Source organism: Homo sapiens, chromosome 21, assembly GCF_000001405.40.
Source record: "Homo sapiens chromosome 21, GRCh38.p14 Primary Assembly".
Lineage (NCBI taxonomy): Eukaryota > Metazoa > Chordata > Mammalia > Primates > Hominidae > Homo > Homo sapiens.
In genome coordinates this window covers 45,101,916-45,127,196 of record NC_000021.9, presented here as the reverse complement: position 1 = coordinate 45,127,196, position 25,281 = coordinate 45,101,916, and the positions used below count along the sequence as shown (strand labels likewise).

At 44.0% G+C, this 25,281-nt stretch overlaps 1 protein-coding gene across 15 annotated transcripts in view, besides 2 other annotated features; it reads right to left on the bottom strand.

The window, feature by feature from the left end:
• The window catches only part of ADARB1 (adenosine deaminase RNA specific B1), a 151,986-nt gene that overhangs the window by 99,367 nt on the left and 27,338 nt on the right, over positions 1–25,281 (bottom strand). For 3 of the 15 annotated variants that reach the window (XM_047440660.1, XM_047440661.1, XM_047440665.1), the window contains exon 1: positions 6,238–18,393. The exons of 11 other annotated variants lie outside the window; for them this stretch is intronic. The gene's annotated coding sequence lies outside the window, so the exon portion shown is untranslated. Of the gene's footprint in view, positions 1–6,237; positions 18,394–25,281 lie in introns of those variants that run through there. One more of the 15 variants, XM_047440667.1, reaches the window with a different exon arrangement.
• Positions 1,568–1,747: an enhancer, noted in NCBI's record as "active region_18586". NCBI's record gives its function as "activates an Ori minimal core promoter by ATAC-STARR-seq in GM12878 lymphoblastoid cells {active_cell/tissue: GM12878}" and the evidence as "EXISTENCE:reporter gene assay evidence [ECO:0000049][PMID:35858748]".
• Positions 13,370–13,419: a silencer, noted in NCBI's record as "silent region_13400". NCBI's record gives its function as "represses an Ori minimal core promoter by ATAC-STARR-seq in GM12878 lymphoblastoid cells {active_cell/tissue: GM12878}" and the evidence as "EXISTENCE:reporter gene assay evidence [ECO:0000049][PMID:35858748]".

Sequence of the window (25,281 nt, the reverse complement as noted above, 5' to 3'; positions counted from 1 at the left end):
CTTCAGCGTTGCCTCCACTCAGTCCGAATCCAGCTCCACCACAGCCCCTCCCCAGTGGGCAGAGAGCAAGGGCCCCGAGTGAGCATGAGCTGAACAAGCTTCTCTGGAGATGGCACCTAGCCCCTCCCTCAATCCAAAGAGCCACAAAGAAGTAAAATCCATTCTAGAAGCTTTACACACCAAAAAGTCCACCGCCTAAACAGAGAAAGAAAAACACAGCAGAAAGGACATGAAACCAAGATTTACAGAACTGGGTTCTAGTGCCCACATCATGTCCCACCAACTCTGCAAGCCTGGCCAAGAAATCTGACCTCCCTGGGCCGTCTGCAGGATGGGAAACTGCATGGGAAGCCCAGCCACTTTGAGGAGGGAGCAGGTGATATGCAGAGTGGGTTTTGGAAGCTGCAAAGTCTAAACATCAAGTGTGAGAATGGTTGCCTCCCATTTGAGTACACTCATACCAACTGAGGTAAAACTGCCATACTTGCCAGGAGTATTGCAAGGGGTTTCAGGAAAAGCATGGCTTCCAGGAAAGAGGGGTCCAGGCCACCACCCTAGACCTCAGCCTTGCAGTCGTGTGACTTGAACAGTGACTCAGCCCCTTCCAGGCTTGCTCCTATGAGGACAGGACGAGGACACAAGGAACACCCGCCGCAGATGGTGCCGTGAGGATTAAATGGAGGAACAGATGTAGAGTGCTTGGCCCCGTGACTAAGATCACAGTAGGGGCGCAATAAAAGATGGTCAAAAACACCGGAGTCTTTTTGTCATGGAGGGAGTGGAGAGGAGCAGGTGACAGAGACAGCAGACAGCGGCTGAAAAAACAAAACAGTGGAGAGATGGAAGATCTGCACAACACAATTAACAAGCTGCATGGTGGTCACATGCAAGACGCTGCTCCTAACAGTGCATCACACATCAGCTCCTCAAGGACACATGAGCCACTTCTAAAAATAGACCATATCCCAGCCGTAAAGAAAATCTCAACATATTTCAGGTGGCTGAAATCAGACAGAGCTCATCCTCTGATCGTAATACCATGAGCCTAGAAATTAACAAGCCAAGTATAACTAGAAAGTCCCATATGTCTGAGAGTTCAGCAATACACTTCTAAATAATCCATAGACAAAAGAAAATAATCACAGGAGAAAACAGAAAACACTTAGAACTTAAAACTAGAAAAGATTATGTACAGAATTGTGTGGCACACAGATAAAGCAGTACATCAGAGGGACCTTTATAGCTCGGTGCTCAAGCTAGAATAGGAGTAAAAAAATTAAAGAGTGCCTACCTGAACAAGTCAGGGAGAGAAGAACAAAGTAAGCTCAAAGAAAACAGAAAAAGGGAACTAGTAAGAAATTCAACCTGTATTAATTACATATAACGGCAGGTACACAAAGATAAACATTGGTTCTTTGAAAAGACAATGCAGTGAACCAGTGATCTCTGGCAAGACTCATGGAAACACAGAAAGGGAACACAAGAGAAAAAGCCCAAATTAACCAGCCTTGGAATTGAATTGGAGGGCAGGAAGGCCTGATGGCCACAATGTGACTCTCCTGTCCTTGTGTGGGAAGATCTTACTTCCCCCAATGAGTCCCAGCAGGCGGGTGACTGCTCTGGCCCATTGAACGCAGCAGGCGTGGTACTGCCAGGTCCAGACCAGCACCTGAAGAGGAAGCCAGATTCCACCTCCTATTTCTGGGAACACTGTCTCTGGGGAGCCAACTCAGATGCTCTGAAGAGATCACAGGGGCTACATGCAGAGAAGGATGTCTAGTCAGCCCCAGGCGGGAGCCAGCCACCTCACTGAAGAAGCCTTCTCATACAGGACACTGAGAAGAACCAAGAAAGCCACAGCTGACAGCCAGAAGCAGAGCTCCAGACACTCAGGCTACCTGGCTGAGCATTAATAAAGTGATTGTTGTTTATGTCACTAAGTTGGGAATGGGTCATCAGGCGGCAAGAGAAACCAAAATGGAATTATCACTTAAACTCTGACAACACTAAAAATATAGTAAGAGGCTTTATAAACTTTATTCCAAAAAGCTTGTAAGCTTAGGTTAAATGAAGAAACTCCAAGAGAAATACAACTTATTAGGCTGGGTGCGGTAGCTCACGTCTGTCATCCCAGCACTCTGGGAGGCTGAGGCAGGTGGATCACTTGAGCCCAGGAGTTCAAGACAAGCCTGAGCAACATAGCAAAACCATCTGTACTAAAAATACAAAAATTAGCCAGGCGTAGTAACACACGCCTGTCATCCCAGCTACTTCGGAGGCTGAGGTGTGAGAAATCACCTGAGCCTGAATGGTCGAGGCTGCAGTGAGCTGAGATTGCACCACTGCACTCCGGCCTAGGCAACCAGAGTGAGACCCTGTCACACACACACACACACACACACACACACATACACACACACACACACACACCATTTAAAAAGAAAAGAAATACAACTTATTAACACTAACTCAGGAGGAAACAGAAAATCTGACAAAACTACAAACATTAAAGAATTAGAAGCCAGATGCAGTAGCTCATGCATGGAATCCCAGCACTTTGGGAGGCCGAGGCAGGCAGACTGCTTGAGCCCAGGAATTCAAGATCAGTCCTGGCAACATAGTGAGACCTTGTCTCTACAAAAAAAATAAAGAAAATTAGCCAGGTGTGGTGGCGTGCACCTGTAGTCACAGCTACTCAGAAGGCTGAGGCAGGAGGATCGTCTGAGCCCAGGAGGCAGAGGCTGCAGTGAGCCGAAATTGCACCATCACACTCTAGAGCCTGGGAGACAGAGTGAGACCTTGTCTCAAGAAAAAGAAAAGAGAAGAAAAGGGAAGGAAGGAAGGAATGCAGGGAGGGAGGGATGGATTATAGTCAGTAAACAAAAATCATCCTGGAAAGAACACTCCATGACTAGATGGCTTCTCTAGAAAGTGAATCCAACATTCAACAAGACACTTCTGTGAAGATGAAAAGGAAGCAGTAAGTCAATCTTACAAATACAGTGTAAACATCGTATACAAAATGTGATCACACTCAATCCAATAATATTTTTTAAAGCGATCAAACATGATTAAGATGAATTTATGATGGGAATGCAAACATGATTTAATGTATGAAAATCGATTTATGTAATCCACTTCATTAATAAATCAAGAGAAACACAAAAGAATATACTGATGACTCCCCTTGGATAAAGTTCCATCACAGGCAAAACTGAACTACATTGATTGGGGATGCATTCTTACATGGTAAAATTAAAAAGAAAAGGACAGTATTATTTCAAAATATAGGATATTACCAAACACAGTGGCTCACACTTATAAGCCCAGCACTCTGGGAGACCAAGGCAGGAGGATCACGTGAGGCCAGGAGTTCAAGATCAGCCTAGGCAACACATGGAAACCCCATCTCTACAAAAAATTAAAAACTCAGCGAGGCATGCTGGTGTGCACCTGTGGTGTCAGCTGCTCAGCAGGCTAAGGCGGGAGGACTGTTTGAACCTGGGAGTTCAAGGCTGCAGTGAGCCATAATCCTGCCACTGCACTCCAGCCTGAGTGACAGAGTGAGACACTGTCTCAAAAACAAACAAAAAGGCCAGCACGATGGCTCACACCTGTAAGCCCAGCACTTTGGGAGACAGAGGCGGAAGGATCGCTTGAGCCCAAGAGTTCAAGAACAGCCTGGGCAACACAGGGAGACACCATCTCTATAAAAAGTAAACAAAATTAGCCAGGAGTGGTGGCTCATGTCTGTAATCCCAACTGCTCTGGAAGCTGCAGTGGGAGGATCACCTATGCCTAGGAAGTTGAGACTGCAGAGAACTGTGATCACACCACTGCATTCTGGCCTGGGCCACAGAGCAAAACATTGTCTCAAAATAATAATAATTATAATTAATTATACACACACACACACACACACGTAGTATATATTAGATGTGTCATATGGATGAGGGGGAGTTATCATCAGGGAGGAGCATGAAGGAAACTGTGAGGTACACAGTGTCTATTTAACCTGGGTGAGAGTTACATGGACATGCAATTAAAATTATTCTCTTATATATGTGTCCATGTTCAAGAAAGGTATCTCACAATAAAAATGTATTAGAAAACAAATAATCAGGCAACAGAACAAAAAAAAATGCCAGCAATGACAACTGATTTTATACAATACTATCAATAACAATGGGACCAAGTAGCTGCTGTATGATCAACCATATGAAACAACTAACCAACCACTGCAACCAGCTGTCTGCCTGCCACGGTCTCAGATAAGAGCTAAGGAACCACAGGTGCAGAAGAGCTATGAGATTATGCGAAAAGGCAACTAGAAACTTTATATTCCTCACACAAAAAAGAGAGACTGAGGAGACTACATTCAAGGAGATCGTGGTTGGAGGTGCTAAGAGGCAAGCTCGCAAGCTACGGCCAAGAGTTTCAACCTGTGCCGTTTTCTCCATTTGCCTTGAGCCATCCTGCGAAACTGGTGGGGAGTGAGCCACCTGAAAGGGTGGATGGGGAAAGGGAAGTACTGTGGGATAGGCAGCTCTGCACGTCTCCCACCTCCGCCCACTGACATGCCAGGGGCCAGCAGCTCATCTTCAACCCCAGCACCACCACCTTTCCAGAGCTTTCTCTGGGTGACTGCTCCTAGTCGCAGGAAATCCTCTTCTGAAAATAGCATGACTCCAAATTTGTCAAGCTGAAGGGGTTTCCACAATGGGTTTATACCCCACTATCTCCTAACAAAGGGAAATGCCAGTGCCACAGCAATGCTATGAAAAGAGGGACCACTGAGGATTTAACATGCCTTGTACCAACAGCAAGTACACTGCAAGTTGTATTAAAACACATTTATCATTCACAGCACTTGATGGATTTGCTGTGCCAGTAATAATCATATTGATTAAACGAAGCAACTGTTTCCTTTTAAAGTGATATTTATCATTATAATTTAATTAGACTGTGGAAATTGAGGCTCTGCTCTGCCAAAAACTAAGTACTCTCATTTTCTACCTCGCATAAAGCCAAGACTATGCACGCGTGTGCAGTTAAACACATATGGGCAACTGATGAGATTTCACTGTTTCGAGACAGTAATTACTGCAGCAAGTACAGAGGCATGATATGCTCGTGGCAAGTAAAGTACAGGTCAAGAGAAAGTAATCAACTGGAGGCTGCTACGGCAAAGAAGCCTTCTTCCTAATTTTTGACAGTAGCTGCCATTTGAAGTGCTTTATTAGTCCTAAGAATTAGTAGCAACAATGGGGAACAAAAAGTTGATGGCCCGAGAGGAGGGGATACAGCTGGGAAAACAGCCTTGAACATGCTGGAAAAGTCAAACACACCATATACGTACAGAAAACAACGGCTAAAGGAGATACAAACAGTTAGTAAACAGGTAAACTAAGAATGACCAATTGGACTTGGCAGGACAGGGAAGCAGAGAGACCCTCCAGAAATAATAGCTATAATGACTAACGCTAAAAGCTCAGTGGACAGGTTTTAGCAGCATATTAGACACAGTTAAAGAGAAAATGGCCAAACTGGGCAGTAGAACCGAAGCAATAACCCAGAAAGCAGTGCAGAGACACACGAGAGACAGAAAGTACCAAAAGCATGGGAGCTCTCACAGAAACAGATTCGGCCAACTAACCCGCAGCAGAATAAATACAAATAAGCATGAACCCAGACACAGCACAGAGAAATGATGCGGGAGCACAGGGGGACAGTCAGGCTGAGAGCGGATGCCCAGGGCCCAGGGAAGAGACCAGTAGTGGAGCAGGATGAGATCTTCAATGTGCAGACGGGAAAGTAAACTCCCCACCTAACAACAGTCTTTCCACAATAAGAATAAAGATGTTTTCACACAAATCACACCTGAGATAGTTAATCCTAAGGGACACATTCCAGAAGAACTGTGCTCTTGTAGAGAAAGAATATGTAGCAAAAAAGAGTGGCTATAAAAGGAAGCAGCATGTGAAAGCACTGGCTGAATAAAGGAAAAGCACAAAGCTTACACATACCGTTCCAGCGAACAAAAAAACAGGGAACATCCCCCACTCGTTTTACGAGCCCAGTATAATCTCGGTAGTAAAATCTGTCAAGAATGTGCCAGACATGAACTATCAGCGGCTTTTACAAATGTAGACACAAAAATCATAACAAAATTAGCATATTTAAATCCAGGGACATATAAAAGACAGTAGGTCACACCTGAGTTGAATACACACATACCAAGAATACACAGCTGGCTTCAGATGTGAGAATCGATCAACGCACTGAACAGCGACATTTCTATTCAAGGGTTCTTTAACTTAGATTTCTCAATCATTCAAACTGGTATTTTTGTAAATTTCCATTAGTAGAATAAACCTCACGCTGTTCTCAAAATATACACTACCTGTGGAAGATAAAAAAATGGAGGATAAAGAAAGCTGATAAAATGAAAACAAACATTGTCGCCAATAATGAAAGTAAAGGCCCAGCACACACAGCTTCTCCACATTCCTGCCCTTGCTGGAGGAAGACAATAAGCTCGGAAGTTGCCCCCAGAGCAATGCGGTGGCAGGGGTGGTGTCCTCAGAGGGTCCTAGTGTGTCCGTGATAAGGCCATCATGAACAGAACCAAAGAAGGCAAAAGGGAGACATCTGGCCTTCGCAGGCTTCCTTAGAGTGTTTTCCACACCTGTGAGGATCCTGAGCGAGTGCCAGGAGGAGACGGAAGAAGTGCAGCTTCACACTCCTCTCCAGAGCAGGCATTCAATCGACAGTTCACGAATGGGCTTCAGGAAGACAATGAGAAGTGTGAAATCATATATGAAATGATGCGTTCATATGCACAGATGAATTTTTCTAACGAAAATGTAAATGGATTTAATCAGATATTCAAAAGAACCCAATACCCCACAAGTGTGCCAACATCTGACATGCAAACTTGTCCGTGCGGTAGAGGCCAAAGACAGCCCTCACCATGGGCTGTGAGATGACCCAAAACCCAATCCTTTCTTTGGCACTTCACCAACAAAATTTCATAGCCTTTCTTTTCTCAGTGCAACTAAGGGCTAGTCCATGGTAACCTACGAAGTGAATTATTACGGGGCACTAAAATTTAAGATTTATAACCTAAACCTGAGGTGTTACTAGGCTTTATAGAGGTCTAGTTCAGTATCAAGAAGGGAGGCTCCTGTGCAGAGCTGCAAAGCTTGGTAATGCGCCCACGTGGGGGCCACAAAGTCCTCATCCTCAGAAACAGCATTTCGTGCGTTACCAATGACAGCTTTATTTATAATGGATTTCAATTACCAACACTCTTGCTTTTATCATTTCGATGTCCATTTTCTCATGTTCACAGCAGTTTAATGTGGGCTGTCTGGGTATATACCACGATGACAATTCATAGTTTCAGGAGCCATGATTTTTCAACAACTTATAAGTACCCTAAGTCATCTCCGTCTTTATTTCGAAACAGATGTATAGAACCTCCTCTAAATTCTGATGCAGCAGTAACATTTTATTTGTTGGTGATGTGCTGATTAAGAGTATATGAAATTTAACTAACTTGCAACACACCATCAAGGCAAGTGTAACAAAGTTACCCAGCTATTTTTAAGTTTATGGCCACACTCTTACATAGTAAAGAACAACACGTCTCATAAGAACTTCTGTATCAAAAGTACCTAAACTGGTTCATTTAATTTCATCCCGATTCTTTGATAATGTTGAGTGATATTTCCACTGGAGAGCAAGAACAGCTACTGGTAAAGGTGACCAAGGCACTAATTTTGCCACTGAGAGTGATCTAAAAAGGCTTTTAGGCTAGGCACAGTGGTGTGCTCAGCACTTTGGGAGGCCAAGGTGGGAGGATGGCTTGAGCCTAGGAGTTCGAGACCAGTCTGGGCAACACGGCAAGACCCCACCTCTACAAAAAATTTAAAAATTAATCAGTCAATGTGGCACGTGACTGTGGTCCAAGCTACTCAAGAGGCTGATAACAGGAGTATTGCTTGAGCCCAGAAGGTGGAGGCTGCAGTGAGCCACGATCACACTACTGCACTTCACCCTGGGTGACAGAGCGAGACCCTGCCTCTAAATTAATTAATTAAAAGGGCTTTTAATTAAAAATGGTGATAAAGTACACCATATCTTCTCTCCATTCTTCCCAGAGCTCTGTTAAAATGTCAGAAAAGGTACTTTTTGGTGGTGAATGAACCATAATAGTGCACGGTGCTAAAAATTTACAGAGGGATTTAGCAGAACACAAGAAAGCCTGCCAGGGCTTTTAGGGCATAAGGCAGACGAAAGCAGGTTGATGCGAGAGAGCAGAGGAAACTGCAGAGCAAGACAACAGAGGTGAGGGGTCTTCCCAAGAAGCAGGAGCCATAGGGAACGCTTTTATTCCTGGGCTGAAACCTGAGAATCGCTCTCCAAAGAAAGCCTGAGGTTTTCTAAGGGGTGATCCCAATATGGGCACGCGGGCTGGAAGAGAAGCAGATCCGGGTTTAGGGTAACGAAAAATCAAACCGTCAGGACATGAAGCCCAGGGAGGGAGAGAAGGAGAGAGTAGAAGATGTTTACCTGCAGTAGAACAAGGATCAAACGGATATCCAACTTCTCATTACCAACACTAGACTCTGGAAAATAATAGAGAATATTTTCTGATTTCAAAAGGAAAATTATACGATCCTAGAATTCTAGACCCTACCAAATTATCAATAAGTATGAGAACAAAGTAATTGCATGTTTGAACATTACGTGCAAAAACCCAAGAAGTCTGTCAGCCATCCATTCTATAAGGAAGTGAATTAAGAAGTCTGTCAGCCATCCATTCTATAAGGAAGTGAATTAAGAAGTCTGTCAGCCATCCATTCTATAAGGAAGTGGATTAAGGAGGTGCTCCAGCAAAACAAAAATAGAATCCAAGAAACCAACACCATGGGATAGGAGAAACCATGGCAACTGAGGCAGCTAGAAACAGCGGACACCTAAAGAGAAACTGGGAGTTCCATCTGAATATTCTCCTTTTATTGGCAAAGGTTTGGTGAGGCAGAATTACATTTCATACCACTTGGTTCTATGGCAAAATATACTATCATAATACTATAAATGTTACTTTTCTTATATTAAAATGTTTAGACTACACTTGCAGGAAAAGCACAGGGAGCCTAATGATAGATGGGAAACACTACAAATGTTTTAAGCCTTGTCAATATAAATCTCATCAAAACTCAGAGTGTGAAGGCACTGTTGACTTCCACATGAACTCACAAACAGAAAAGTTAAAGCTATAATGGTGACTACAAGAAGAACTTAAGAGAAGAAAACACAAACTGTACATTGTTTACCTCTGGAAACGGGGCATGGGGTGGGGAGGGAGAAAGAGGAAATCTCCAACTTAATTTATACCCATTCATGAGCTGCAATGTGTTTTTTACCATGTGCTGGTATTACTTCCATTTTTTAAAATAGTTACATTAAAAGGGCCCCCTTATCAATAGCTGATCCATTAAATAACTGCAGTACATCTATAGGACAGAATAATATGTTCTTGTAACAAGTGAAGTAGCATGAGCATTGCGTTAGTTATATAAAGTCAGAATTTTAAAGAAGCTTTTTTTTTTTTAACTGTGAAAGAACAAAGATAAAGTGTCACAGTCCTACGAAGAGAACGGCACTACCTGTACTGACATGCAGGATGTGACGGGACAGCTGCGTTATAGAGAGATGTGCACAGAAAACCCCTGTGTATCTCAGAAATCCCATATACATAACAGAAACTCCTCATCTATTATATATGCCAGAATCCAGTGCTGACACAAACTAGTGGGTACGTACCCTTCCATATTTTTCCTATGTACACACACACAACATTTTGTAAGCCTAAAAAGCTGGCACAAAAAGCAAACCAACTTCACAAGGACAAGCCAGAGAGTCCTTGGGGGATGTCCTCCCAGGAAACTCAAAACAGCAGCGGCTAGGTCTCCCTGGAGAAGGAGGCTGGGAAGAGCATCTGATAGAACTGCTCCCTTCATCCTTCGAGGGAGCAATCCAGGAAATGCAAGGCTGTCTACTTCACATGGTTTCCTGAGGATATGGGTAGAAAACATTTCCAGTAAAAGCTTTACTAAAATGTTATACAGTGAAAATTAAAATACAAACCATTCCTCCATGCGCCAGTGTCATCTGCTAATTTGTACAACATCTTGTTTCAATGACCTGAGAGGCCTACACAAATAGGTAGAGTAACCACAGTATATCAATTATGCTGAGAAAAGAAAAAAAAAACATATACATGAAAAAAGACACAGATATTGTTTGGCCATGTCCCCACTCAAATCTCATCTTCAATTGTAGTTCCCATAATCCCCACGTGCTGTGGGAGGGACCCAGTGGGAGGTAATTGTATCATGGGGGCAGTTACCCTCATGCTGTTTTCGTGATAGTGAGTGAGTTCTCACGGGATCTGACGGCTTTGTAAGGGGCTTTTCCCCATTTTGCTGGACACTTCTCCTTGCTGTTGCCATGTGAAGAATGATGTGTTTGCTTCCCCTTCCACCATGATTGTAAGTTTCCTGAGGCCTTCTCAGTCATGCTGAACTGTGAGTCTGTTAAACCTTTTTCCTTCATAAATCACCCAGTCTTTGGTATGTCTTTATTAGCAGTATGAGAACACACTAATACAGATACAAAGGAAACATACAAAATAATAACAAAAGTTGCTTCTATGCAAAGGGACTAATATGTCTCTTCCTAGTTTTGCATTTCTGCAAAGTCTGCACAGTCTGTAATAAGCATACTGTTTCTAAATAAAAAATTAAATCTTTCAGAAGAAGCTTGGCAATGTAGAGTTTTCTCCAAAGACTTAGCAGCCGAGGCAAGGGAAGGCACGCAGGGGTGCTGCTGCGCAGCAAGCACAGGCGCAGGCCCTACCCAGGCCAGCCCCACCCTGGGGCTGAAGATGGAGAAAAGGCCAATTCCAAGACTGATCCTGTTCAGAAGACAAAAATGAGCTCAAGCAGCTGTTCCTGCCACTGTAACCTGAGGAATTTCGCCCTGGGGACACTGAGAGAGGCACAGCAGATACCACCTTAATCAGCATCCCCGAAAGCACTTACCTTTTCACCCCAGGATGACCCAACCTTGCACAAAGGACTTAGTCTGCACTCAGCAAGAATGCAACATACAGTTCCTTATGGAAAGAGGATGGATGACGAGGGTGAAATCAGTTAATTAACAAATATGTATCTCTTCAGCATTTTGCTTTGCAGGGGGAAGAAATACCCTTAAAAGATGAGCAAGCATCCCTACTATTTAATGTGGTGACATCATGGCCCCAGATTTTAGGTGAGACACTAACTCCCCTTGACCCACAATACCACGTGTTATGTAACAGCACCAGAAACTCACACATTTGAACTTTAGAGCAAGTGAATAATTCCTTACATGCATTATAGATGAAAGAAGAAAAACCATACGACTTCTGCAAGAGTCCTTGGGTTTAATGGACACAAATTTTAAAAGCTACCTCAACTATTAAGTTTAAATAGTAAACATGTTAAACATTTACATAGTAAACATCCTTTAAAACCCAAGGATGCAGAAAAAGGGGAAGAGATTATGCTGAAGTCAAAAGATGTATACCTATAAGAAATCAGTGATCTGGCTGCTAATTTGACTGGGATGTAAATGGCATCTGATGATACAGACAATCTAACTGGGTTTCTTATTCCTTGCTCTGTCAGGGACAAGTTGAGTGATCCAGAGACATCGCCCTGACCGGCTAATGCCCCGTGAGGAAGCAGGTGCACTGCTGAACCAATTCAGCAGACAGCTTTCCCATCACAGCAGCCCAGCATTCACTCACTCTGTGACCCAGACTGAACCAACTCAGCAGAGAGCTTTCCCATCACAGCGGCTCAGCATTCACTCACTCTGTGACTCACAGACGGTCACTGGCACCAAAGCAGACCACCTCCTCATGCCCACCAACCAATGAGGTCAAACATCCAAAACCATGTATTTCTGCATTTCTGGGGTAAAGGAATAGACTAATTTCAAATATTGTTTGTCACTGGAAGTTTGGTCGCCTTAAAATCTTCCCTGGGCCCTTAACAAAGCAAGAGGCTCACAAAGCCTGTCTGTGAGTGGATACATGACTTGAAAAAGTGTATTCCCAAAAGATCATGCCACTTTGCTGTTGTTTCAAATAAAAGCTCTCCAATCCATTCCCCATATCCAGCTCTCTACAGGTCAGTGCGAGCCCATGACCAGGATTATGAACACAGAGTTGGCAGTTTGCCTGCTTGAAGATCCAGCAATGCAGCCCCCTGGCTCTGAGGCTACTGTCACCCTGCAGCATCTCAAGCGTTCCCTCTGGCAGGAGAAGGTTAGTAACAGTGCCTGCTGCAGATGGCTGCAGCAAAGGCTGAATAAAATAATGCAGAAAAAGAACTCAGCACAGTTCCTGCATGGAGGAAGAACTCAATAAATGTTAGCTATTACTGGAGGTGATGATGACAATGTTAAGGTGACGATGACAACCTCAACAACGTTATTAATAGCAACCAAATTACTGAGCCAATGGGAGAGCCAGATAAGCTCTTAAGCAATAAAAATTAAGTGATGTTGAATATTTTTTAATGTTTGTTTCAGTATAGTCGGACCTTTAAAAACACATTCAGCCTAAGCCTCGAGACTCTGCAAAAGCAAAGCCCTCCCCTGACCCTGGCATCCACCACACAGGCTACGCACCTGCCCGGGATGACGGATGGGCCTGAGCATCAAGGCTTTATGAACAAAAACACCAAGGCACCACTCTGAGAGGGTGCTGGGGTTATCTGCGGTCTCTGTGGACAAGTATGTCACAATGGTGCTTGGATATCTTCCTGAGTTCAGCAATGTGAATGGGGATACATGTGTCCTGACTTGACACAGCTGATAAGCCATGCTTCCTTTCTGTTACTATCCATGTCTTATCTATGACTCCATCTAAAAGCTGGTAAGCCTTTTAAAGGGTAGGAGCCAAAACAACCTCCAAGCCTTCCCTGGTGTAAGCCACCGCCTAATATCAGAATGTGCTGGATATGTAGTTTTGGTTTAGGATGGCAACCTCTGATTGGTATGTAGAGTATGTCTACTAAGCATAATATTTATTAAAAGAACACTTAATGCCACATATGTGTTAGATGGCATGGCTTTCCTCAATTTATAAAAGAATTCTGGTGCTTTAACAGGTGCTCAAACATATTTTTAACTAACTGAATTATAAATTTTCTTATACGTGCTATTCATAACAGCAGACTGCTTGCAAAAGTAAAAGCTACTTGTGACTTCCAGTTTGAAATATCTGAAACATTCAGAAAGCAGCTGAGCTAAAACTGATCTCCGCACTTGTCCAAGAGGGGTCACTGGGCTGCAGCTGTGTTCATTCATTGTAAGGGCTCCCGAAACACCGACCAATACTGAAGAACCCTCATGTGCTGCACAGGCTCCTCTGGGCAGGGCTGCTCAAGTATCAGAGAGCTCGGCCAGGTCCAACTCTCAGGGCAGCTTCCTAGTGGCTGTTAACAGGTGACGCTGTACAGACACTCCCTTTCAGGATGCTTTAAAAAACAGACAAGGAGAGAGTTCAGAGTAAACTGAAAAACTCACATGTCAACATATATATATATATACACACACACACACACACACACACACATATATACACACACACACATATATATATATACACACACACACATATATATATATAGTTTTGTTTTGTTTTGTTTTTGAGACAGAGTCTTGCTCTGTCGCCCAGGCTGGAGTACAGTGGCACGATCTTAGCTCACTGCAACCTCCACCTCCTGTGTTCAAGCAATTCTCCTGCCTCAGCCTCCCGAGTAGCTGGGACTACAGGTGTGCAACACCACGCCTGGCTAATTTTTGTATTATTAGTAGAGATGGGGTTTCACCATGTTGGCCAGGCTGGTCTCGAACTCCTGACCTTGTGATCCACCCACCTCGGCCTCCCAAAGTGCTGGAATTACAGGCGTGAGCCACCGAGCCTGGCCATTTCAACCAATATTTTAAAATTCACTATCACATTTTAGTCCCCAAAATATCCCTAGGAAAGGCGTGCAAGCAAGGCAAGTAGATTTCCCTTTTCACAGACAAATAAAACTCAACTAAGTTTAGTCAATGAGTGAAATACTTCTTAAACATTCTGCCTCCCAACTCCAGCCATCTTCCTATGACTACCCACATGGCCCCAGCACCCCTTAGGGCCTGTGTACACAGGACACACGTGGCCCCTCACAACTCACAGAGGGGCATCCTCCCTATGACACTCTCCATCTTTGAGATCATAACTCTGGGGATCATGACCTGATCTCCCCAGAACTTCCTCGTTATCACATGTCATCTTGGGGTCATTAATAATTGCAGGCCCTTTCACTCTCAAAAGTGTCCCTGTTCAAGCAGTAAATCAGTAAATCACATGTTCACCTATTTTATAACACAAGCCTACATCCCCCAAATGGGAAGTGGGACCAAAGGTCTGCAGAGGCTGCCAGCTCCTCACACCAGGGCAGACTGACCAAGAGGAATGTGGGTGACTCAGGACCATCCCTGCTTTATTTCCACCCAACTGCATTTAGAACAGAAGCCGAATCTCACCATGCAACTCTACACAGAGATACACACCGAGAGGAAGGCTCACCCCCGACCCCAAGCCCTGGCCCCAGCCCAGAAAGTCCAGGGAAGAGAAGAGGGAAGGGTTATGAGGAGCCCCAGGGATAGGGGAAGTCCACCAAGGGCCTTGTGTGCATGTCTAGGCAACCTTCACTCATCTATAGCAGATATGAAGTCCCTGTGCCTCTTTACACCGAATAAAAAAGGCAATTCCAGAAAAGACACCTGAGCTAGACTCAAAAATGATGAGTCAATTTCTATCATTTTCAGGGGGAAAACCAGTATTTTCTTGAAGAAGGATGTAGGCAAGACATGAGGTGTGCAGAGACACCATTCCCATACCTGCTCCTTCCCTGATGACAGAGGCTGTAGCTGGGCACTTTGGGAGGCATCTCAGAGAGTCCAGAATTCCATGAAATGTAACAAAAGCTCAATCTCACTAGTAAGCAGGTCCATGAGAATCAAAACTACAGAAAAATACCACACACACCTGCCCAGAATGGTAAAAATTAAGAAGACAGAAACTTCCAAAGCAGTTGATGCCACATGGGGAGTGTGGTGAAAGCAGGCAGTTGAGTGCCCAACCAGGCACCATGCCAGCATCACCCACTCACGCTGAAGTGCGTGTGCTCACAGCCAGCCCATCCACCCCAGCAACACCTGTGCTTCTTTACCAAAACACATGTATCAGTATGGTCAGAACAGTTTTGCTTATAATGGCCCCAAACTGGAAACCGTCTAACTATCCATCGTCAGCAGAATGAATATATGATATGGTCAAACAGCAGAGTACTATGTACAGCAGTAAAAACGAACAGGCAACAACACAGGCAAGTCTCATCACACATGTAATACTGAACAAAAGAAAACACACAAAAACACATCCTTTGACTGCATTTATATAGTTAAAAAATAGGCTAAGCATAGGACTTTAAGGGCAATGAAACAATTCTGCATACTGTAAGGATGGATCCATATCGTCATAAATGTGTACAAACCCATAGAACGTCCAACACTAAGAGTGCACCCTCATGGAAACCATGAACTCTGGGTAATGAGGTGTCAACATGGGGTCATCAACTGTAACAAATACACGGCTCCGGATACGGATGTTGATAATGGGGGAGGCTGTGCCTGTGTGGGGGCAGGGGGCATACGGGAAATCTTTGTACCTGTCCCTCAATTTTGCTGTAAATATAAAACTGCTCTAAAAAATAAAGTTTATTAAAACGTTAAAAACAAACAAACAGGCACGCCCAAACAAACAGGTTGCAGGATACAAGCTCAAGTGACAAACCTGTCACCCACAGAGGTCAGTGGCAGGCACCCACGCCAACAGGAGGAGCCTGAGGAAGCCTTCAGGGACTGCAGCGCTCCGTGTGCTGGCCTGGGTGGAAGGCACAGCCTGGCGGGCTCTGCAATGCTTCACTCAGCTGCGCCTTCCTCTTGTGCGCTTTCCTGCTTGCGTAACGCTTCTCAACAACACAGGTAGACCCTGATTGTCTTCCAAGTCACTGCTGATGAGCTGAGAGACGAAGGAGCACCCCAGCCCTCTCGACCTGAGCTCTCACTAGCACCATCCCCTCACAGAGCAGAGAATGGGAAAGGGATGAGTGTCCCAAGAGGATGGACAGATGGGCAGAGCTCAGCACAGCACTCAGGAGTACCTTCCAGCAGGTAAAAACTGACAGAGATGCGCCCACTGCATTTAGGAAGCAGCACAAGAATCTTGGCTTTCTGTCCATGAGATCTGATTAAAATGTTTATTAGTTTTTAAAATAATGGTAAAAAACTAATTACCCAATCAAAATAAATGAATCCTGACAGCAACTATAACTAGAAATATTTAAAGAGCCATAAATGCTAGCAAGTCCTTGAATATTACAATTTCCAAAAGGATTGACACATGCTTAAATAGATTAGGTTTATTAATCAAACTGTTCTAGGTGAGGAGTTTAACCTCCTAGGAATTAAAATACATCATTGTCAGTAGCAATTGTTTAGTTCAATTCCTGCAGAAAAAGGTAAGTGAAAAACAAAGGGCAAACAAATTCTCCACACCCCCGCCTCACTGGCTCTTTGACAACGCGGTCCCCAAGTCACCACACCCAGGTAGAGACTTGCCGGATGGTCAAGAAAACACAGCCATTACTTGGCACAGAAATGTACTGGTTTTCAAATTCGTGGGAAATAAGAAACTAATTATTTCATAGAATAAACAGATGAACATTTTAAGGTTTGTTTCGTGAATGGAAAACGCTAAACATGCTACCCTGAGGTTATCTCCACCTCTTTCCAAGCATGACTGAAAATGGTTTCTCCTCAAGGAAGAAAATTATGCAGAGGAAAGAGTCTCACATTTTCTTCTCAAAATGTGGAAGTGAAAAGGTCAAGTAAAAATAAATACAAAGTAAACTGACTAATTTGAGCTTCCTTCCTCCCTGCACCCAGCTAATAGAGCAGAATGTTAAAAATAAAAGTGGTCAGAATTTTTCAGAGCGAGGACTGTGAGGTAAAAATAGATGCTCACACCGCACTTGCAGCTGAAGCGTGACTAGAGGCAGCCCCCACGCTACTTGTGGCTTTCCACTAATGTCTATAGCGACAAAAAGAGAGAGAAAGGCGCCTCCCAGTGTGGCTGAAAACCACATACTGACGTACAACCGCACACAGAAAGTTTTCAAAGGAAAATTTCAGGAGCAAATACATGATTTTTGCTTAAAACCAGCGTGATTTGGCTTCTCTATCACCAAAAGCATCCAGAAAGAGGGGCATCAAGACGTTGGTTTTAATAGTAAACCTGGAAACAACCAAAAGGTGCATTGCTAGGTTATAAAATACCAAAGCCCGTCCATTTATTCTTCAACAAGTATTTGAGGGCCTTCTACATGCCAGGAGGATGGGACAAAAACAAAAGTCTCCATCTACACGGAGCCTCCAGTCCTGGGGGGGCGCAGAGCCCCGTGCGCTGACATCAGGAAGTGGTGACGCAGGCGACGCAGAAAAAACCAACCAGCCTCCAGACTGATAAGGAAAGGTGGATACTTTTCCACCTGTTGACCAAGCCATTAAAATCCAGGTCACAGAAAAACAGCCTACAAAATGGGAAACTGCTCCTGACTCGTTAAACGAAAGCATTCATGACAACTCGGTGGTGCCACAGGACTCATGGGGACACACACGTGCACACACATATACGCACACGCGCGCACACACGTGCACACACATATATGCACAAGCGCGCACACGCGCGCAGTGCACACACATACGCACACGCGCGCACACACATATACACACAAGCGCGCACACACGCGCGCAAACACACGTGCACACACATATACGCACACGCGCGCACACACATATACGCACACGCGCGCACACACACACGCATACAGGAGGAGGCAGCAGCGCAGACTGGTGATTCCCGCATGAACCCCAGAGCCTGGTCTGGTCCTAGCTCTGTAGCTGAGAGCTGTGCCATCCTCAGCAAGGACTTACTCAGTCCTTTTGCCTCTGCTGATTCAGCCCCAAAAGTAGAGTCCTAGCAATGCCACCTCCTTCAGGTGTGTTTGCAGGGCCCTGCTCAAGTGACCCAACTTCTGCCTGGCTTGGCCTGGGCTGCAATCACACAGCCTTCAAAGACAGAATGCTATCCTAACTAAATTCTGTGTTTAATCTGTATCAGGTACCTTCCAGCCATGTGACTTATGAAATCCATAATGAATACAGAGCCATCCTAAGAATATCAGGTACCTTCCAGCCATGTGACTTATGAAATCCATAATGAATACAGAGCCATCCTAAGAAAAAAGGTCGAAGTGTGGAAACTACCTAAATTTAACAAGCCCTAGGTGTGTTACCTAAATTTAAACCCCTAGGTTTAGGGATGTGGGTGTGGTGGTTGGAAGGAAGGAGAAACAGCCTAGAATAATCCACAGTAGAGCGGGGGCATCCTGGCAGCCTGTGCATGCAGGTGCATAAGAATTTGGTACCTGCTTCCTAGGAAATCTAGGGAGAGTTAGTGCTGCTTTTGTTATAAAGTCTATTTCAAAGCACACTGAGAATAAATTTAGAAGTTAACAATCATAAACTTTAATGCTCTTTTAAGCTGAAAAGGCAACTGCCTCTTCACCTTTATTTAATACACCATTTCCAATTAAGCACGTACATGAGAAATAGCAACATTATTAGAAATAGCTATCAAGTGAGACTTTTGATTATTTGCACATCTGTAAGAAATGGTATCTTGGTAAAGTGTATGGGCCATGTTTATGTACGTGTATATGTGCATATGTGTCTGTTCATACCTTTTTCCCATTTTCCTAGAATTTCGGGTTTCTTCTCCCTCAACTTTTAAAACATTTATGATATGCTACAAAGGTTTTCACACAATTGGTATTTTTGTCTTTTGACCTTATTGTGTTTTTCTGTTTTGTTTTTGGTCAGGCAAAGTTGTTACTTTTTTTTTGAGACAGGGTCTCGCTCTGTCACCGAGGCTGGAGTGGCACCATCATGGCTCATTGCAACCTTAACCTCCTGGGCTCAAGTGATCCTCCCACCTCAGCCTCCCAAGTAGCTGGGACTACAGGTGTGTGCCACCACACCCAAATTATTTTTGTATTTTTTGTAAAAATAGGTTTTGCCATGTTGCCCAGGCTGGTCGCAGTATTTTGGAATGCAGTCAAATTCATCCATCTTTTCTTTGTTGAAGCTGAATTTTGAGTTACGCCTTTAAAAAAGCCTTTCCCAACACATAGGTAATATTCAACCATGTTTGTGTCTAACATTGGAACAGTTGCCTTTTTCACACTGAGTTCTCTGACCCACTTGCAGCCTATTTTTGCATGTGGTGTAAGCTATAAATCCTAATGATGTATTTTACAAAATGGAGTCCAATTGTCCCAAGAACGTTGACTCTAACAATCTATCTTTGACCCAACAATCTGAGATACTATCTTTATCATATACTAGATTTCCATCTATATATGGGCTTATTTCCTCCATTGGTCTGTCTGGTTCTTCATGCAACCTTGCCACACTATTTTCCATATAGCCTTTGTAGTATGTTTTAATATCTAGTAGAGCTATTCTCCTTTTCTTGGCTCTTTCTTTTCTAAGTTTTCTAGGTATTCATGCTATTTCAATTTTAGAATCGACATGTCCAGCCCAAGAAAAAAAAGCTGAGTCTTTTTGCTTTCAAATATTAGCATCACATTAAATTTGAAAATTACCTGACAACTGACATCTTAATGAGCCAAGCCATCTTAACCGAGAACAAGGTGTCTTCACCTGCTCAAGGCGACTTCTGTGTCTTTCTCAACTTATTGTTTTCTTCACTTAGCTTTTGAACAGTTCTCATTACATTTATTCCTAAATATTTTCTCGTTGTTGCTATTGTTAATGGGGTTGTCTCTTCCATAATATCTTCTGATTATTTTTGTATATATGAATAACATTGACGTTTGCATATTAATTTTGTATTTCTACTGGACAGGACTGCTCTAGGGTTTTCCAGATACTCCCAAAAGAGGTAGTTTTATTTCTTCTTTTCCACATGGTATGCCTTTGTTTTTTCTTTCCTTTACTCAACATAGCCAGTGGGTACCTCAGGATTCCTCCATATTGACTAATGAAACTGCACATCTGTGCTTTGTGCAGCCTCTTCCTGCCTTGCCACAAGCCCTGCTCTGACGCACTCAACTCCAGCACTTATTCCTTGCTTTGGGGAGATACAACTGACACAGAGAAGAGACAAATTTGCACCCCAAAAGTGCATCCAGCCGTATTTGTTCTCAACAATACCTTCTTTACCTTTCTGGCTCTTGTTTAACTATAGTTAAGTTAAATTTGTGTACCTCCCACTGGAAGGACCCTATCATAGATAGCACTAAAAATGGTTTATTAAAGTAAAGTGAGCTAAATATTTTAAGTTGCTCGGAAGTTCCCAAGTCACTCATCCGGAGAGTAAGAGAAAAGGGGGACAGCTAAAAGCCCCAAGGCCTGTGGCTCCCCAGAGTTCTCGTGGGTTTCCAAGCACAGACTCACGGCTAAGAAACGGAGTGCAGGCATCCCAGCATTTGGCCTAGCCACCCCCTCTCTCTCCAGGTCACGTATTTAGGATGGCCTTAGAGACATGATGATAAACACACTGAGAGCAAGGCTAAGTTAAGTGACAGATGATATCTGTACTTAATACACGAGTCTAGGTTGAAACATTAAACACAACCACAACCCACGCTGAACACAGAGGGCTTTGTTAAATATCATAAAAAGGCTTTAAACTCAGCAGGCAACATAGCCAAGTAGAGAAAGGACCTATAAAAAAAAAAAGCCTCCCACGGGATTTAACAAGCCTGCTCAAGATACAATTGCATTAAAGGCAAAGAAAGGAATACTGCTGTGGATGAGAAAACAAAGCAAACAGCTAAGAACAACTTCATCAGGTTGAGAAGCAAACAGTCCTAAAACACGACATGACATCAGGGTAGCTTGTTCTTACAAAAGAATTTCTGCACTAGATTGTTGGTATTCCTTTACAGTTGTTTTACAGAACAAAGACAACACTATCACTAGCAAAAAGCCTAAAAAAGCAAAGAAGCTGATTTCAGCCAAAATTCCTAGACATGGGTACACTATAAAAAAAGAACTCACTCAACAAGTTCATAAGCATAAAGACTGGACAGTGGTGAGCTTCTTGGAACTTCACCTCTACAGACAGACGAATCATGTTTCCAGTCCCCTATCTTCTTGCAACCAACAATACGTTTTCACGAAGGAAGCCAGTCCTTGAAATCATCTGCATACTGAGAAATACACTCATATATGTGTGTGTGTGCATGAAGCAAATTTAGTAAAGAACATAAAAGCAACACAATGTTAGAATGCTTTTAGCTTTAGTGTTCAAAATAATTCCTTATTTCCTTAGGGCACTTACGAGTTTTCTCTTTTAAAATATATTCAGTTAACTGTGATCTGAGAAGGAACAGATGAGGACCAGTCAGGAGCAGCTGAAGGAAACAGAGAAACCAGCCTTCCACCTCTTGTATCATACTTAGGCCAAAATGAAACCAATGCTTCTCTAGAAAATCATAAAATACACAAATATTAAAATACAAAGAAGCAGGCCGGGTGCAGTGGCTCATGCCTATAATCCCAGCACTTTAAGAGGCCAAGGCAGGCAGATCATCTGAGGGTCTGGAGTTCAAGACCAGCCTAGCCAACATGGTGAAACCTCATCTCTACTAAAAATACAAAAATTAGCCAGGTGTGGTGGCGGGCACCTGTAATCCCAGCTACTTGGGAGGCTGAGGCAGGAGAATTGCTTGACCCCAGGAGGTAGAGGTTTTGGTGAGCCAAGATCATGCCACTGCTCTCCAGCCTGGGTGACAGTGCCAGACTCCATCTAAAAAAACAAAACAAAACAAAACAAAACAAAACAAAACAACGAAGCAGCAACGATGCATGCTAAGCGTAACAGAAAAATCACCTGGGAAGTAAAGCCAAAGCTTCACATGCCATCCTTGTCTCCACTTTAACCCTGTTAGGTAAGTTTCTCCAACTCAACCTTTTTATCCAACTCTGTTCTCAGAACCTGGGTGCTTCATACTTGGGAGCATTTCCCCAAGGGAAGCACAGAGACTTTATATCAGTGTCATAAACATCTAGACCCCTTGTAGCCAGCAGGCACCCCAAGAAAACTTCAAAGAGCAGGTGTGGAGCTGCTCTGTGTGAGGCCACCCAGGACAGCAGGAAACATCTACGGCAGCATGGGCTGCCTGCCAGCGCCAGGGAAATTCCCTACTCCCCAGAGGGCACGCTTGCCACTGCTGACATTTCCCTGCTTCCAGCCCTTCACAGGGGCCCAGCAATGCTATGTCCATTTTATTTAGCCAAAACAGACCACCTCAACTTTGCTAGAGGTTATTGCTAGTAAGTATGATGGGAGTTTCATCTCAACCTTTGAAGATTCTGTTCTTGAGAAACACCTCCAGTTCTGGGTTCGTCCCTCATTCTTTGTATCTCCAAGCTGCAGCACGGCCTGTCCATGCCCTGACCCCCACTGTGTCTCCACTGACCCAATTCTTCCCTGCTCTTTCTTGGAACTCACTCTATCCCAGGAGTCCCCAGTCAAATGGGTACAGTAGCAACAGCCTCTCTTCCCTGACAATGCTCCTTTACAGCCTCCACTGCACAGGACAACTCCGGAATCCAAGCTGACAGCACCCGGACAGCACCTAACTCTTCACAGAAGTGACTGCAGCACATAAATATATCCCACTGCACCAAAACTAACCACAGCCATATCACAGATACCCAAGGCTGCCAGGCACAAGGAGACAGACAAGAAAGGGGAAGCCCAAGTGGAAGGAGAGGGTAGCAGGCCTACCCCGCTGAAGGGAACAGAACACACTTGTGAAAAAGTATACGAGCTAGCTGAACGCACTGCTCCAGGAGGGACCCCCCTCCCCAAAAGTGAACCCCTTGGAGATCAACCGTCACTGACCCCTGGGGCCTGGTTCGATAAGTGTGCCCTGACTACTCGGTTTTCAAAACCAAAGGATATACTGTGTAAGGGTAACAGACAGAGTTAAGAAATCAAAGAAAACTAGTGGAACCACTTACACAAAAGTCAGGATAATTATTTATTTGGAGCAGAAGATAAGGACACAAAAAAGTGTTTTTGAAAAAACACTTATTTTTAAAGTAAACGTTATTTTTAGAACAATTTTAGATTTGAAGAAAAATTGAGCAGATGTGACAGAAAGGCCCCACAGACCCCACACCCATTTTCTATTATTAAGATCTTACATGAGCATGGTTTAATACAGGAGTCCCAACCCCTGGGCCATGGACAAGTAACAGTCCATGACCTGTTAGGAACTGGGCTTCAGAGAATCAGTTCTTGCACTGATTCTGTCAGATCAGTGGCAGCATTAGATTCTCACAGGACTGGAACCCTATTGTGAACTGCGCATGTGAGGGGTCTAGGTTGCACATTCCTTATAAGAATCCAATGTCTGATGATCTGCCACTGTCTCCCCTTACCCCCGATGGGACCATCTAGTTGCAGGAAAACAAGCTCAGGGCTCCCACTGATTCTACATGATGCTGAGTTGTATGATTATTTCATTATATATTACAATGTAATCATGGAAAGAAAATGCACAATAAATGTAACGCGCTGGAATCATCCCCAAACCATTCTCCCAGCCCCCACCTCGGCCCATGGAAAAATTGTCACCAGTCCCTGGTGCCAAAAAGGTTGAGGACTGCTGGTTTAACGGACCAGTATTAATTAACACATTGTTATTAACTGAAATCCACACTTTCGTCAGATTCAGTCGTCCAGGATCCCACGTGACATTGAGATGTCATGGCTCCCTAGGCCCCTCTTGGCTGTGAGTTTCTCAGACTCTTCTTGGTTTTTGACTGTTGAGGAAGCTGTCCCTCAGCTGGGATCTGTCTGATGTTTTTCTCATGGTACAGGAAGGGACTGAGTTTGGGGATGAAGCCCCCAGAGGTGAAGGCCCACTGTCACTCCACTGTATCAGGCACACCCTGTCACCGTGACTGACCACTGTGAGGCTGACCTGGCCCCTGCTGGGTTGAGCCCCCCGCCCCACTTCCATGCTGTCCTCTCTGGAAGGAAGTTGCTCTGCACAGCCCTTGCCTTGGGGTAAGGGTTGTGCTCCACCTCCTGGAAGACACAGCAGATACAGCAGATGCAGAGATGATCTGGAATTGTGCTGGAAAAGGAGCTTTGTCTTTTCTCCTCATTTATCAGTCATTTATTTATGTCAGTCTGGACTCATGGATATTTATTTATCTCTGGGCTATAATCCAATACTACTTTGTTTTGTTGTAGAAACTGTTCCAGCTTTGGCCACTGGGAGCTCTTTCAGTTGGCTCCTGGGTCCCTTTGACACCACCCATTGATGTGGGTGTGGTTATGTTTGTTTCTCGGCATTTCCTTGCCATTTCCTTGGCATTCCTGGCACTTGTGTTATTTCCTGCCCAGTCCTAGAATCAGCTATTTCTCCAATAAAGAATGCTCACTCTATTTTTTATATGCTGTTTTATGGAACATGCAGCTACATGTTTAAAAAATATAGTTGTGGTTACAGCTGGTTTTGCTGACTTGAATCCATCCCCTTCTTTCTGACAACAGCACCCCAAATGTGCTGAGGAAAGTGCCTTCTCCCATTGAACTGCCTGCGTAATTACTTCCAAGAAATCAAAAATTATTTTAAACCCTTGTGCTGATAACAGACAGACACCAAGGTAAGGAAGATAATTATAGAAATTCTGATTTAGAATTAAAATAAGCACATTGGCCAGGCATGGTGGCTCACATCTGTAATCCCAGCAACTTGGGAGGCCGAAGAGGGAGGATCGCTTGACGCCAGGAGTTCAAGTCTAGCCTGGGCAACACAGCAAGACTCCGTCTCTACAAAAAATAAAAAAAGTTAGCTGGGTGTGGTAGTGCGCCTGTAGCCCCACAGTCCCAGCTACTCAGGAGGCTGAGGTGGGAGGATCACTTGAGCCTGGAAGTTGAGGCTGCAGTGAACCATGATTACCACTGCACTCCAGCCTGAGTAACAGAGTGAG